At 54.5% G+C, this 13,973-nt stretch overlaps 1 protein-coding gene across 5 annotated transcripts in view, besides 1 other annotated feature; it reads left to right on the forward strand.

The window, feature by feature from the left end:
* Positions 333 to 874: an enhancer, noted in NCBI's record as "H3K4me1 hESC enhancer chr20:58147145-58147686 (GRCh37/hg19 assembly coordinates)". NCBI's record gives its function as "activates a minimal SCP1, AML or CMV promoter by ChIP-STARR-seq in naive H9 embryonic stem cells {active_cell/tissue: H9 hESC(naive)}" and the evidence as "EXISTENCE:reporter gene assay evidence [ECO:0000049][PMID:30033119]".
* Positions 5,752 to 13,973, forward strand: part of PHACTR3 (phosphatase and actin regulator 3) — a 270,203-nt gene continuing 261,981 nt past the window's right edge. For 2 of the 5 annotated variants that reach the window (NM_001199505.1, XM_017027628.2), the window contains exon 1: positions 5,752 to 5,860. In NM_001199505.1, the coding sequence (NP_001186434.1) occupies positions 5,752 to 5,860 (109 nt within the window). Of the gene's footprint in view, positions 5,861 to 7,353; positions 7,697 to 11,758; positions 11,932 to 13,973 lie in introns of those variants that run through there. The other 3 variants (XM_017027626.3, XM_017027630.2, XM_011528525.3) reach the window with 3 other exon arrangements.

Consider the following 13,973-nt stretch of genomic DNA (forward strand, 5'->3'; position numbering starts at 1 on the left):
GAAATAAATACCCAAGGTTTCTGCCCGCTTCTCCCCAGTGCTGCCGGCAGAGCTGATCCAGAAACCCACCCCGGGCTTCCCAGGGGGAAGTGGACCGCTCAGACTCCTAACTTCAGTCAGCACGCTGACGAAGGAGAGAGCGGTTGAGAATCCTACAGCTGGAGGCAGAGCTCCGCCGAGGGTCTGGCCTTGCAAGGCGTCTCCCACAGCCCGGGGGACCTTGGACCTGTGTCCCCTCCTACAAGATGCTGAGAAGCCCAGGGTTAGGGGTCCCTGAGGCAGGGTGGAAACGCTGCCAGGACAAGCCCAGCCCACAGTCCACAGCGCCTGCCCCAGAAAAAACAGCCGTCGCTCCTGGATATCTGCCACGTGACTCAAAGAGGATTTAAGGCAGTTTAGAGCGATTCACAAAATTCAGCAGCAGCTGCGACCTCGGGGACCCAGAGAGACGGGGATGACGCAAGGAGAAAGGAACAAGAGCAGGGATGCGGGATGGAGCCTGGGATGAGGGGATGCAGGCCGCTCACGGAGAATTCTTCTGGGGTCAGGCCCAGGTCTGGGTGTCTTGCGTCCTGGGGCCCCCGGGGTGCAGCCCAGGGGCTGCTTAGAGGGGCTGAGTGTCTTCTCCTCTAGGGTCAGTGCCCCTGGAAGATTTGGAGGGAAAATTTGTGTGTGTGGAGAGAAGGCAAACGTGTCATTGATTTTTATTATAAAAGAAAAGACTGTACTGCACTGTACTGGAATGATAATGATGAAGAAGATGGGATCATTCCAGTCACTCTGAGTAACTTACAGTGGCTTTTTTTAAAAGGAGGATTTCTTTCCTTTATTTTAGTTTATTTTTTAATTATGTGTTTATGATTTTTAGTGATGGGGTTTTGCTCTGCTGCCCAGGCTGAAGTGCAGTGGCATGTCATGGCTCACTGCAGCCTCAAACTCCTGGGCTCGAGCAATCCTCCTGAGTAGCTGGGACCACAGCCTTGCGCCACCAAACCCAACTACTTTTTAAATTTTTTGTAGAGATGAGGTCTCGCTATGTTGCCCAGACTGGTCTTGAACTCCTGGCTTCAAGCGAGTTGAAGCTTGAAGCCTCCTGAGCAGCTGGGGTTATAGGCATAAGCCACCCTTTCCTTTTTTTTAAAAAAAAATAATTATTTGAGGTGATATTTGTGTAATACCAAATTAGCCCTTTTAAAGTGAACAATTCAGTGGCATTTAGGACATTCACAATGCTGTGCGCCCACTACTTCTACCTGTTCCAAACCATTTTCATCATTTTATGGTAAAACCTCATCTTTGTGGTGCCTTTTAGATCTTTCTTTATTAATTATTTATTGAGCATCTACCATGAACCGAAGTCTGTGTGGTACTGGGGATTTTGAATGGTGATTACACACAGTCTCTGCCCTCAGTGATAGCCAGCCTTTACCCCAACATGTTCTTTAAGTGTTCTAGCTCTTAGAAGCAGAGTCCTCATTTCCTCCCAGACAGCAGAAAGATTGGTAACTATGTAGCACCCATGCCCCACTCTGCTGGCCCTTGCCCTTATCAGACATTGCCAATCAATTGCAGCACTCTTACTGATCCTTGAGGCAGCCTAGTGACCCTGTGGAGCTCAGGTACATTGCCAACCAACACTGAGAAAGCTTTGGGTCATTCCGAGCTGTGATGTTGTACACACAGAGGTCTGTATCATATATACATACACTGGGTTCCATGAACTCAAGTCTCACTTGTCCACAAGTTGCAGGGCAACCGGGTTTTATAGGCTTACAGGAAATCACCCCTAGTCCTCACTCCATGCCTGCAGGGAAAACGTTGTGAAGGTATCCTAGCTGGTTCCTGCGGGTCATAAGGATGCTGAAGAAACTCCCAGCATAGACAGATACAGTGAACCTGGCAAGTCACTGCTGTTGGGTTGGTGTGTGTCCAGGGAGGTCACTCACAGCCATGACCTGCTACGGAATTTGCCAGGGGTCTAATGCAAATGAAAGTACAGTTCCCTTATTCAAAAATTATGAAGAGCTGCAAGGTGGTGGTGGTAGGGCGGGAAGCCAAGTCTGGGCCCTTTTGAGCCTGGGGCCCTGTGCCTGTCCAGGCAGCTCTCATCGCAGTCATTCTGGCCATTTACCCCCACTCGGGCTCTGCATGAGGAGCTGGCCTGGCCTGGAAGCGCAGTGTCGTGGAGAGCCTGGTGTCTGCTCTGCCCCAAGCTCTCCCCCTTTCTAGGCAGCTGCACCAAAGCAGCTTTTGGAGAACCTCCTCTCCCCAGGCCTCAGCAGAGGAGGTTCAGGTGAGCTGATCCTACCCCACTTCCATCCTCCTCCGTGCCACCAGCCTGGCTAACCCGTAGTTCCCATCCCTTAGTGACGAGGACCAGTTCAGAGTTGGGGAGAGGTGCTGTGAGGAGGTCCAAGCAAACTCGGCTTGGTGCTTTCTCTGGAGCTCCAAGGAAGGAGGTGGCCCCTTGAAGCTTTGGTAGTGGAACTCTCGGATTCAGCCATGTCTGTCACCACCCCTCCTCCTGGTCTCTCCAGTGGCCAAGGGGTACCTTTTCTGCTCCAGCCAGAAGGACTTGGATTTCAGCCCATTGGAACTGAAAGAGTCCCTGGAGTGAGTGGGGCTCAAACGTGGGGCTAGGTGGCTTAGCCAAGTGGATGCCCCACTGCACGTGGCTGCAGGAAAGACCAATACCCCTTGTCCCTCATGGCCCTTGCTGTGTCCTAGACTTCAGCCCTACAGCCGAGGGGGATCCTCTCAGCAGGACTCCTGCTGGTCTGTGTTCCCATGGCCCAGACCAACCCATGGACATTCAGGACACCCTGGAGGGTCCTCACAAAGAAGGGATGTTACCCACAGGGCTGGCCCTGAGGGTCCTGCTGGGCCCAAGGGAGCAGCTGATGGGGTGGCCTTCAGCCCTTCTGGATTCCTTGCAGGGGCTGGGCCTGGCCAGCCTGTCCTCTGCCCTAGAAGCACCCAGGGGTGATGTGGCTCTGGTGAAGCGCACAGGTCCTGGAGTCCAGTTACGAGGCCTGGAGCTTGGCTTGTCCTAATATTAGCAGCAGGGCCTCGGGGAGCCTCTGAGAGCTTCAGTTTTCTTAGGGATAATGAATAATGCTGTCTTTAGATTTTTGTGAAGATGAACTGGGATAAAGCAGATGGAGTGTTTAGCACAGGTCCTGGCGCATCGGAAGTGTTTAGTGAGGATGAATGATTAGGCTTCATCTTCCCCTCTGCATCCTCTTCTGAAGAAACCTGCTCAGAGTTCAAAAGGCCCAACCCAGGCCACACCTAAGGAGGCCAACAGTGTCTGCTGGCCTCAGACGGGGTTAGTCAGCGTCCTTGGTAGTGTGTACTTGAGAGGGCTGCCATGTGAAGCCCCATTCTGTAGGTCACCAATAGATCCATGTGCAAACAGATCAGGGGCCACGAAGGCTCTGGCCCGTGGACAGGCGGCAGGGCCGGCAGAAAGAGAGACCTTTCCTAGCACACCTCGAATTTGTCTTCATGCTAACATTTCTGTCTCCTAACTCTTTCCTCCAGTGACCTCTTCCCCACCAAGGCTAGGGAGAAAAGGAAATGGCAAGGAGGGTGGGACTGAAAATTCCAGTCCTCCATAGGGCTGCCTTCGGGCACAGCTGGAACCAGCTGCTCACACGGACAATGCCAGCAGCCCCTGATACCTCCCTGTCCAGGCTCCTCCCTCTTCTGTGTTCTTTTGATTCTGAGCCATGTAATGGCCCTGGACGTTCAGACCATCCTTCTCAGGACTAGTGGATAACATGGGCTTCTCTCTCCCAGTCCAGCAAAGTCCCAAATGTGTGCCTCTGTGAACCAACTTTTCTGGCCCAGCCCCTGAGGTCAGGTGGATGATCTATGCTGGTTGGTTGGACTAGGTCATGAGCCCTCCCCTGGAATTAGGGAGGGGCCCTGGGTCCACAGAGTGGGGAAGGAGGCTTCCAGCAGGAAATGGAAATGCTATTCCCAGCAGAGTGGGACAAAGCCTGCAAAACACATGGTCCCTGAGTGACCAGGACCAATGCCTGTCCTCTCAAATTCCAGCCCAGTGTGGGGCAGGGCAGATGGGTGGACAAATCATCTCAATGGGATGCAGTGTATGGCCAACAGAGTGTGCACCCAGTGCAGGGGGCCTGCGGAAGGGAGAGCCAAAGGCCTGGGGAAGACAGGCAGGGAGACTGAAGGATTAAAGTCTTCAGAAAAGAGGCAAACACTTAAGCCAGGTCTTGAAGGTTGGGTAGGAGTTCACCAGGGCAAACCAATGAGCTGGGCACAGAGCTAGGAAGCACCGCAACACTGGCCAGGTGTTGAATCCAGACGCTGCACCTTTCTCACTTTCTAGGCAAGTAACTTCACTTCTCTGAGCCTCAGTTTCCTCCTCTAGAAAGGAGGGCATGATGATAGTGCCTCTCTCCAGGAGCTGATGGAGGAGCAAACAGGATGAAGTAGGAGGGGATTGGAGCAGTGGACTCAGTTTCATCTTTCATGGAGCTTGCATTTTCTCATCCATAAAGTGGGCACAGTAACAGCGCCCTCCTCAGTGAGTTTTCTAAAGGTTCAGGGAATGTATGCTCAGCGCAGTGCCACCACGTGCTGGCTGCCGACTGTTACCACCGTTAAGCAGTTCTGAAGATGAGGCTGAGAAGTCTGGGCGGGAGACGCGGGAAGCAGGCAGGCTGCCAGGGAGGAGGCAGGTGGCTGGGAGGCCTGGCTACATCCCAATCCCAGCACTGCCCTGGCCGCTGTGTGGCCCACTGATTGCACCTGCTGGGGGAGCCGCTGGGGGATGGAACGGGGGTTCCTAGTCCCTCAGCAGAGTGCACTTTGAAAGCCTTCAGTGGTGGAGGAGGGGAGTGGTGTTCCTTTGGGGCTCTGAGGACCTGAGTGTCAGGAGGAAGGTTACCCGGAACTCTGCTGGGGACGTGGCTGTGTGGGTGCTGATGGGGACCCTGAGTCCATCTCAGGCCAGGATCCTGCCTCAAGGGCAGGGCTGTGGCTACAAAAACCCCAAAGTCAGTAGAGGCTGCTGAGGCCTCTGGAGAGTCACCCCAACCCCTTCAGGCCCAGGTGCTGGTGGGTGGACGGGCGTTTTGTGAGAGGGCGCTGGGAGGGTCAGAGGACGGGGCCGGCACAGTTCTAGTTCTGGAGCTGGTTGGTGGTTACAAAGGTGTCCCCCAGGCAGCACTCATTAAGCTAAATACGAATGTTTTGTTTCATAGCAAAAAAGGTAAATATATGGGGTTTATTCGAAAGGCAGCAGTGCCTCCCACCGCCCTTACATTAAAGGCAGCCAAGGAGTCTCCAACTTAGGGAGCGCCAGGCCCGGCTCAGTCTCGGCCCATCCCACTTCAGCCCCAGCCCATTTTACACACCAGACCACTGAGGCTCAGAGAGGCCAAGCGACTCGCCCGCCGCCCCACAGCGGCTCCAGCGCTGCTGCCTGTTTACAGCGCGGGGAACCGGCGGCTACACCTCCCGCCCGGCTGTCCCTTTAACGTTTCTAGGGCATCCCTGGAAGGCCCGGGCACGGCGCTGAGGTCTCCGCTCCCGCTCCCGCTCGCCCGGGCGAGGCTGCGGCTCCGGGCGGGTCAAGGTCGCAGCGGAGCCCCTCGGAGCCCCCGCCCGGCGGAGAGGCCGGCCTCGCGTGGCGGCGCCGCCCCCGGCCCTGGTCCCGGTCCCGCCCCGCCGGCGCCTCCCCGCGGCCCCGGCTCCGCTCCGCGGCCCTCCGGCGGGATGCGTGGCCGTGGCGGGGGGCGCGCCCGCTGTCCTGCGCCCCTGCGCTCGCTGCTGGGCGCCTTCGGGGCCCGGGACGCTGCCGCCGCCGCCCGAGATCCTGCGCAAGGTAAGCGCGCGCTGCGGGGAGGGGACGCGGGACGTGGGGCCCGGGGTGCCCGCCGGGCACGAGGCGCTGGGGGACGACTCCTCCTGAATCCCTTGCCCTTGGCCGTTGCGGGTGGCCGGGAGGCCCGCTGCGCCCCCAGCCACAGAGGTGGGCGCCCCGGGTCTCGGGCTTACCGCCCCCCTCCTCCCCCTCGCAGCAAAGTCACCAGAGTCTCTCCCTAAACAAGGGCAGTGTCCGCAGGGTCAGAAGCGCTGGCGTTGGGGTCGACAGTCTGGGGTTTGGAATTCCCCTCTGCCCGCTGTATGAGCCTGTGCGCATGGCGTTTGACCTTGCTGCGCCTCAGTTTCTGCATCTGTGAAATGGGGGATACCTGTGTCTTGGGGGCAGCAGTTGGGATCGTATGGACAGCGCTGGCCACCCAAGGGAGGGCTCTGTGCTTGATCGCCCTTCTTCCCCAGGGAGGGCCATGGGCCTCCACCCACGTGGGACTGGCCCCTCGCCCCCTGCTGGGCAGACACCTGACCCTGGAGAGGGTCCAGCTGCAGTTCAAGGGATGGGATCTAGGAAGAGGGGCCTGAGGAATCCAGAAAATGGCCAGGGCCCCAGCTGGGCCAGGGAAGAGGAGTTGAGGACGGGGAGTGGCCTCAGGCCTCCTGGTGACAAGGCTAGAGTTTTGCCTGTGCTCAGTGGCCATGGGTGCATGAGTACCAGGTGTCCAGCAGGCAGAGCCCGGAGTGGGGTGGAGGAGAGCTAGGCCAGTGTTTCCGCACTGGCCCTTGGTGAGGATACCGGGGGCACTTATTACAGATTGTTCCAGGGGCCCCACCCAGGCCTGCCCCTTGCAATCTCCTGGGAGAATCTGTGTTTTTAACCAAAGCACCAGGAAACTCTGGTTTAGATCCATCCGTGGTTCTTTTCAGTGCCTCGAAACGGGTTGATCCTGCCTTCCCTTGAAGACATTTCTGGTTGTCACACCTGGGGGAACGCCACTGGCACCCAGTGGGCAGAAGCCGGGGACACTGCTAAGCATCCCGCACTGCCAGGAGCCCTCCTTCCCCACGAGGCGGTCATGGTGTAGTCCACAGGCTAGTGCTGGGGTTGGGAAACCCTGAGATACAGGGATACATGGAGTCACAAAGTCAAGAAAGGAGGACATGGGGATTTGGGGGACACTTGAGAGCCCGCTATCTGCCAGGCCTTCTGTGGTGCCCTTGGAGGAGAAGCTCGTGGCAGAAGCTGAGCTCAGGCACAGAGGATGGGCAGCTGAATCCACTCATCAGGAATATTGAGCCCCTACTGAGCGCCAGTCCCAGTGCTGAGCTCCCAGGGTGGAGTCGGGAGAGGGAGATGAGGCCCCTCTAGGGTGCTCCCCTCTAATGGGGCAGAAGCCCCTCCCCCAGTGCCTGCACAGAGTAAGTGCCCACAAGTGTCAGTGCCCTCCCCTAAAGCACCCCTGTTTTTGGCAGTGCATGAGTACTAAGAACAGTGGGGCATATTCTGGGTTGGATTTTGGGAAAGGGCGTTCCCAGTCCTAACCTTCGGCAGCTTGGCAGTGTGTTCAGGGCCACCAGGAGCCCATGTTCTGCCTGCAGTAATTACGCAACTCCTCACCTGTTCCTTGTGCTCCTCAGTCGCTGGGCATTTTTAAAATAGTTCTGCGGCCTCTGTCTAGGCCTTGATGGATGGATGGCAGGGCTCAGCCACTGCTGACCCACTTTCCCCAAGGAGAAAGCGGAATATTTTGTCAGTGGGTCAGCAAATGATTATTCATCATTGAAAATGCTTCAGGCACTGATCTAGATGCTGGGATGCTGCGGGGAGCAGGGAGGCCCTGAGGTGAGAATTCACTTGATGGCACTGGGGAATAGGAGGGTCCTTGAGGCTGGAAGCCCATCAGCTAGGGGACTGGAGGGAGCTGAGTTTGGGGAGGTGGCCCATGGGCCTTGGCCTCCATCAGAAGTCCCTAGGGGTTCTACATGTGCAACCCGAGGCCAATGGCAGGTTCTAGGCTGAAGAATTGCATGTCCCTCTGTGTCTGAGAGAAAGCTCCTCATGGCTGCTGTGTGGCCGCAGGTTTATTTGGAGGCTATGGCAGCAGAGTTGCCAGCTGCTTGGAGGACAGGAGGGTCCATCAGAGACGGAGAAAGTGGGAAGCACTGGGGGCTGATAGGACCTGCTCATGACTTGGGTACCCCAAATCCAGGATGCCCTGTAGGTTTGGGGTCTGAGCACTGGGTGGATGGTGGTGCTGTTTATGGGGGTGTGGAAGGCTTGGTCGGGGAGGAGGGAGACTGGCCGGAGGCTTCTGCAGTGCATTCCTTCACTTTCCGTGGGAGAGGGGAGGTCTGGGAGAGGAAGCGCGCATTCCGTGCTGACCATGGTGATTTGGAGGGGCTGTTTACACTGGGCCATTGCACGTCTGAGTCTGGAGCTTGGGGCGGTGGTTGTTCTGGAGGCTCCAATCTGAGATTCATCAGAATGGGGCTGGCACTTAAAGGAGGTCACTTGGGAGGGGGCTGAGGCAGAGAGTGTGGCTGGGTTTCTTGGTTTCAATGTTGCATTTCAATGTTGAGTCAGATAGGACCCCAGTGCAAATGCCAAGTTTTGGGTTGGAGCAAGGGTCCCGGCACCCAAGGAAGAACCAGGCTGTGTGCCCACAACTCTTTGGGCACTGTGATGCCAGACCTCAAGAAGGTCCCTTTGACTTCATTCCTTTTGGAACCAGGAGGATCTGTCCAGCTGCCACCTGAAGCTCAGCTTCCATGATTTGTGTGGCTACTTCCCGGAGCTTGCTTGGGAATCTTAACTCTCACCCTTAAAGGGATAATGTGCTATTTCTGGGGCCAGGGCTGCATTAATTTAGGAACAAATTAACCACTCATTCTTCCAGACTTCGAAGTCTGATTTCGAAGTGCTGACTCGTAGTGGGTTATTTCTGCACTAAATGAGTTTTTTTTTTTTCCTTTAAAATTTTTGTTTGAAGGGAAAGGCGTGATCAATGATATCATGACATGTCCCAGCTGATGCTCATTAAAAGTTGTGGCTTTAGGGGCTGCAAAAGACAGTTTGAAATTTAATGCCTTGTTTCCTGGCTCAGCTCAGAGTCGGGGCTGGGCAAGGCTCCCTGGAGGCTATAACTCTGAAGACCCAGATTGGGTCTGGAGTTGCCCAATTCTTTTGAAATCTTAATGACAACCAGCTGGACTTAGCAGGCTTTTCTGGTAGCAAGTGACTGAAATGGACTAGACACACAGAAGCAAAAGGGCCATCTGTTAATTCAGGAAACTGGGCGTCTGTAGCTCCAGCTAGCCTCTCCTTGTCTGTCCCAGACTCAGGGTGGGTCATATAGCTGGCCCTTGAACCACTTACTGGAGTGAGGGAGTGGGGAGGACTGGACGGCTGAGACCTAGCTGTCTCCTCCGGTCCAGAAATGGAGCTGGCATCCCCGCCATAGCCAGCCTGAGACTTCCAGTAGGAAATCAGGAGGATCGCAGAAGGACATGGGTACTGGGGGTCACAAACGCCAGCATGGCAGTGCAAGAACCCCACAGCTGTGCCCACCTGACCTGCAAAACCTGCCGTGCATTGCAAATCACACTGCAGCCTTCAGTTTTCTTTCCTGTGACCAATGGGTGCTTGGAGGCAAAAGGCAGAGTCATGATGTCCCGGCAGCTCGAGAAGGCCCTGGGAGAGGTGTGACCTGGCTACACATCTTCGTTTCTCTCCTTTCCCCCCAGGGTGCTCAGGGCACACCTGTGAGAGCCAAGCACCTCCCCACAGCCAGTGGCCCCTCAGGTCTGCTTCTCCTTCACCTGCTCCAAGCCTCACATTTTTCTCACCACTTAGTCCAAATCCCCACGCAGCTGTCACCCCATTACTTTAAGGACTGCTGTCTGCTGGTGAACTTTGCTGATGACTAAGTTGATCGCTCCGTTTTTGTTTGAAGGGAAAGGAGTGATCCCCAATCTTTAGAAATGGCCTAGGCTGGACGTGGTGGCTCACGCCTGTAATCCAAACACTATGGGAGGCTGAGGCCAGCAGATCACGAGGTCAGGAGATCGAGACCATCCTGGCTAACACGGTGAAATCCCGTCTCTACTAAAAATGCAAAAAATTAGCTGGGAGTGGTGGCAGGTGCCTGTAGTCCCAGCTACTTGGGAGGCTGAGGCAGGAGAAAGGCGTGAACCCGGTAGGCGGAGCTTGCAGTGAGACGACATTGCTCCACTGCACTCCAGCCTGGGTGACAAAGCGAGACTCCGTCTCAAAAAAAAAAAAAAAAGTCCTAGCCTGTAGTTGGGACTCCATAAATATTTTATGGGATGAATGGATAATGTGGTCTCCAGCTCAGGGGATAAGTTTTTCTGGAAAAAAAATTACTCACTCAAACACATACACGTATATATTTAATTACACTAGTATGTCATGAATACATCCTCCAAGTGAGCAATTGAAAACATTGCAAATAAGGCTCAAATCCCTCTGGAACATGAATCCTCCCCCCGCCCGCCACCTTTCGCCCTTCCCCAGGGAAGCCACTGTTACCATTCATGGCATTTCCCACCAAACTTTCTTGACATAAGCATGTGCTTTTTAAAGAAATGGCATCACACAGCACTTCTCGCTGTGAAGCTGTTTTCACTCTGCAGTGTATCTTGGAGATTTATCTGGCTTCATAGGTTCTGTCTAATTGCTTTAGAATATTCCATGGCTGTTTTCGCCTTTCTGCTACCGATGGCCATGGAGGTCCCTCTCAGATCCTGTCACAGGCTGTGCTGCAGGGGACAACCTGCGTGAGGCACTGAGCACGTCTGTACAAGTGTTTCTCTATAAGGCACATCCGAAGAATGGAACTCCTGGGGCTTAGGATGAGTGCATTTTAAATTTAAGCTGCTATTGCCAGACTGTTTCCCAAAGTGGCTGTGTCACTCCCAACAGCAGTGTCGGAGGTACCCGTTTCTCTCGCCAGCACTTGATACATTCACATTCTGAAATTTTGCCAATCCTCCAGAGAAGTGAAAATTACATTGTTCAATTTGCATTGCCTTGATTGCTTGAGAGTTTTTCTTATGTGACTTGGCCATTTGGATTTCACTCTCTGAGCGTTGCCTCTTCATTTACTTTTTGCCCTCTTTTTCCAGGGGGGTCGTTCGTGTGTTTCCGAGTGGTTTGTGAGCGCCGTCGATCTGATCTGGAACCCGATCCTCCGCTGGCTGCAAATATTCGTGTCCTGTCTGTTGTGTGTCTTTTCACTTTGTTTATGGTGTCCTTGGTTGATAGAAGCTTTTAGTTCTGATGTGGTAAAATGTATCCAGCTTTTTTTTTGTTTTTGCTTTTTGTGTCTTAAGAAACCCTCTTCTGCCTCGAGTTTAGAGTGAACAGTTTTTCTCAGTGTGGCAGGGAGGGTCCTGGTTTTAGCTCTGAAAGTCCTGCATCCTGAGAAGTCCTCAGCCGGGGGCATACCAGGATGGCTGCTCAAAAACACATCCCTCTGCGTCTCCTTTTGAGGCTTGTATAGCTTTTTCTTTGCATTTATTTTTCTTATCTACTATAACGTGTGTGAAAGAACAGTATGAGGTAGAATGCAGGGTTTTAATAAGGATTACAGGAGTCACTGGGTTTAACCCAGGGATCTGTTGATTCTGGTGGGGATTCCTAGCCCTGAGGGAGCAGAGGGAGGAAAGGTGGTCTGGGGGTGGGGACAGATCCAGTCAATTTACTTTACCCCTAACTGTGAAGTGGACCATGGCTTCCAAACCAAAACTCAGAGCAGATTTTGGGCAAAAATTGGTCTGATCTGGTAGCCTACATGGTTTTATTAATACGATTGACAATTGGCTGTACATTTCCCAAGCAGGGACCAGCTGTGTGGAGAAATTTGGATGCTCCTTCTCGCAGCCTGGCTGCTTTCCCAGGGCCGGCCCCAGGAGGGAGGCTCCCCGCGTGCCCGCCTACGCAAGCAGCCTCGGACTGACTCCCAACAACCCCAGGGTGCTGGCTTTCCCGGAACCCTCCTCTGATTCGGGATTTCTACCAGACTTCGGTAGCGGTTTATTTTAAGGAAAACAACAACGGTACACTTCCCTTGCATAGGACTCCTAGCCTGGGCCGGGGCTGGCTGGGATGAGGGGATGGGAGGACCGGGGGTCTGGCCCAGGGTTTGCGTTGTGGGCTTTGCATTGGGCAGGGGGAGTTGCCCTTTGGAAGCTGGTGACCTTGTGGCCTAGATGACCTGGAGCAATGTCGATTTTGCGTGATTACAGTATTTTCAGGAAAGCTACTTAGGTGCACCAGTCACCAGGGACGGTTCACGCGTGGACATGTGGAAGGCCTTTCCTGGAGGGAATTCAGCAGCTCTTGGGCCTCACACTACGAAGTGGGCCAGACCGGTGGGCTCGCTATGGAAGGTTCCTGCACCAGGCATTTTAGTGACAAACTGTGGGTCAAAGGAAACACAAGTGAGCGCGTGGGCAAGAAGGTGTCGTACTGGTGCCCGTGTGTGCAACGGGGCAGCCCTGACTCAGTGCCTCAGTGCCTCAGTGCCTTGGGTGGTGCCCTTAAGGACAAGTGTGTGTGAACGTGCATGAGAGTGTGAGGATGTACATGAGTGCGTGTGCCTGTGTGTGCCTGATTGTGTGTGTGTATGCATGTGTTTGTGAGGCCGTGCAAGAGTGTGTACGTGCCTGTGTGTGACTGTGTGTGTGAGGGTGTGAAGCTGTGATGAGTGCATGTGCCTGTGTGTGCGTGATTGTGTGTGTGCGTGTGAGGGTTGAGGCTGTGCAGGAGTGTGCGTGCCTGTGTGTGTATGCATGTGTGTGAGGGTGTGAAGCCGTGCAGGAGTGTGTGTGAAGGTGTGCGTGAGTGTGTATATGAGCAAGTGTGTGCATGAATATTACATGCATGAGTGTGTGCATGCACAAGTGTGTGCATGAGTGTGTACGTGCATGAGTGTATGTGTGCATGTATATATGGATGCGATCTCCCTCAACCTAGTGTGCCAGCCTCAGCACAGCCCTGCTCTGACCAGAGGCTTAGGAGGTCCTCCAGCTCCCAGCCCCTAACACTCCATCTAAGCCAGGCCTCCACCTTCACTCCCCGGCCTTCACCCGTGCTGCTCCTTCTGACGGAAGGCTCCTGGCCTCCCGTGGAGTGTACCCATCTGTCAAGGCCCAGCAGCGAGACCTCGTCTGTGAAGCCTCTCACCCCCTATTCCGGGGGGATCTTTTCCCCCTGTAAGCTCTTATTGTCCAAATCTCTTCTTCATATAAGGACACCAGTCAGATTGGATTGCCCAGCCCCCACCCCCTCAGCAGCCTCATTTTAATGTAATCACCCCTTTAAAAAACGCCTTCTCCAAATATTGCATTCTGAGACACTGGGGATCAAAACTTCAACATATACATATTAGGGGGAGTACAGTTCAGCCCCTGACAGCTTGGCTGGGAACGTGAGCGGGGCCTCGGGTCCTTTCCACTCGGGCTTTTGCATAGGCAGCTTGAGGTGGAGAAGTGAGCAACCCGAGAGAAACAGACTCAAGTTCTGTCACCGCTTATGATCTGGCTTTGGACATCACAGTCCCACTTCTGCCTTAGAATCGGCCTTCCCTGACTCGGGGTCGGCATGAACCCACCTCTCAGTGGGAGGGTGCAAAGCCACGTTGCAAGAAGAACATATGAGGTTGGAGGTGATGTTGTGGCCATTTTTGGGGAAAATCCCCCAAAATGTGACTGCACTGGGAGGGACTCTCAGATGCTTGTGCCTGGTTTCTGGCAGATTTCGACCCAGGCACGTTTTTCTTTGCTGGGTGTGCTTTGCCTGCTGCTGCTATAAATCACAGTTGTGAGTACAGCTACAGCCGAGTCCTGTGAGTCCTCTAGTGAATCACTCAAACTGGGGGTGGTCCTGGGGACCCCCAGCACAGTAATCACCCTGTTCACTCTCTTGTTAATGATCCATCTGCTCCACCAAAGGTAAACCCAGGGCAGCAGTGACTGGCGCATTTTTGTGTGCAGGGCATGCACTCCGTGCCTGGCACCTAGCAGGTGTGCTGTAAGCTCTGTGTCCAATGGAGAGCATGATGGGGAGGCGATGGTGGGGAGGTGGGGTTGGTGGCAGG

This window comes from Homo sapiens, chromosome 20, assembly GCF_000001405.40.
Source record: "Homo sapiens chromosome 20, GRCh38.p14 Primary Assembly".
NCBI lineage: Eukaryota > Metazoa > Chordata > Mammalia > Primates > Hominidae > Homo > Homo sapiens.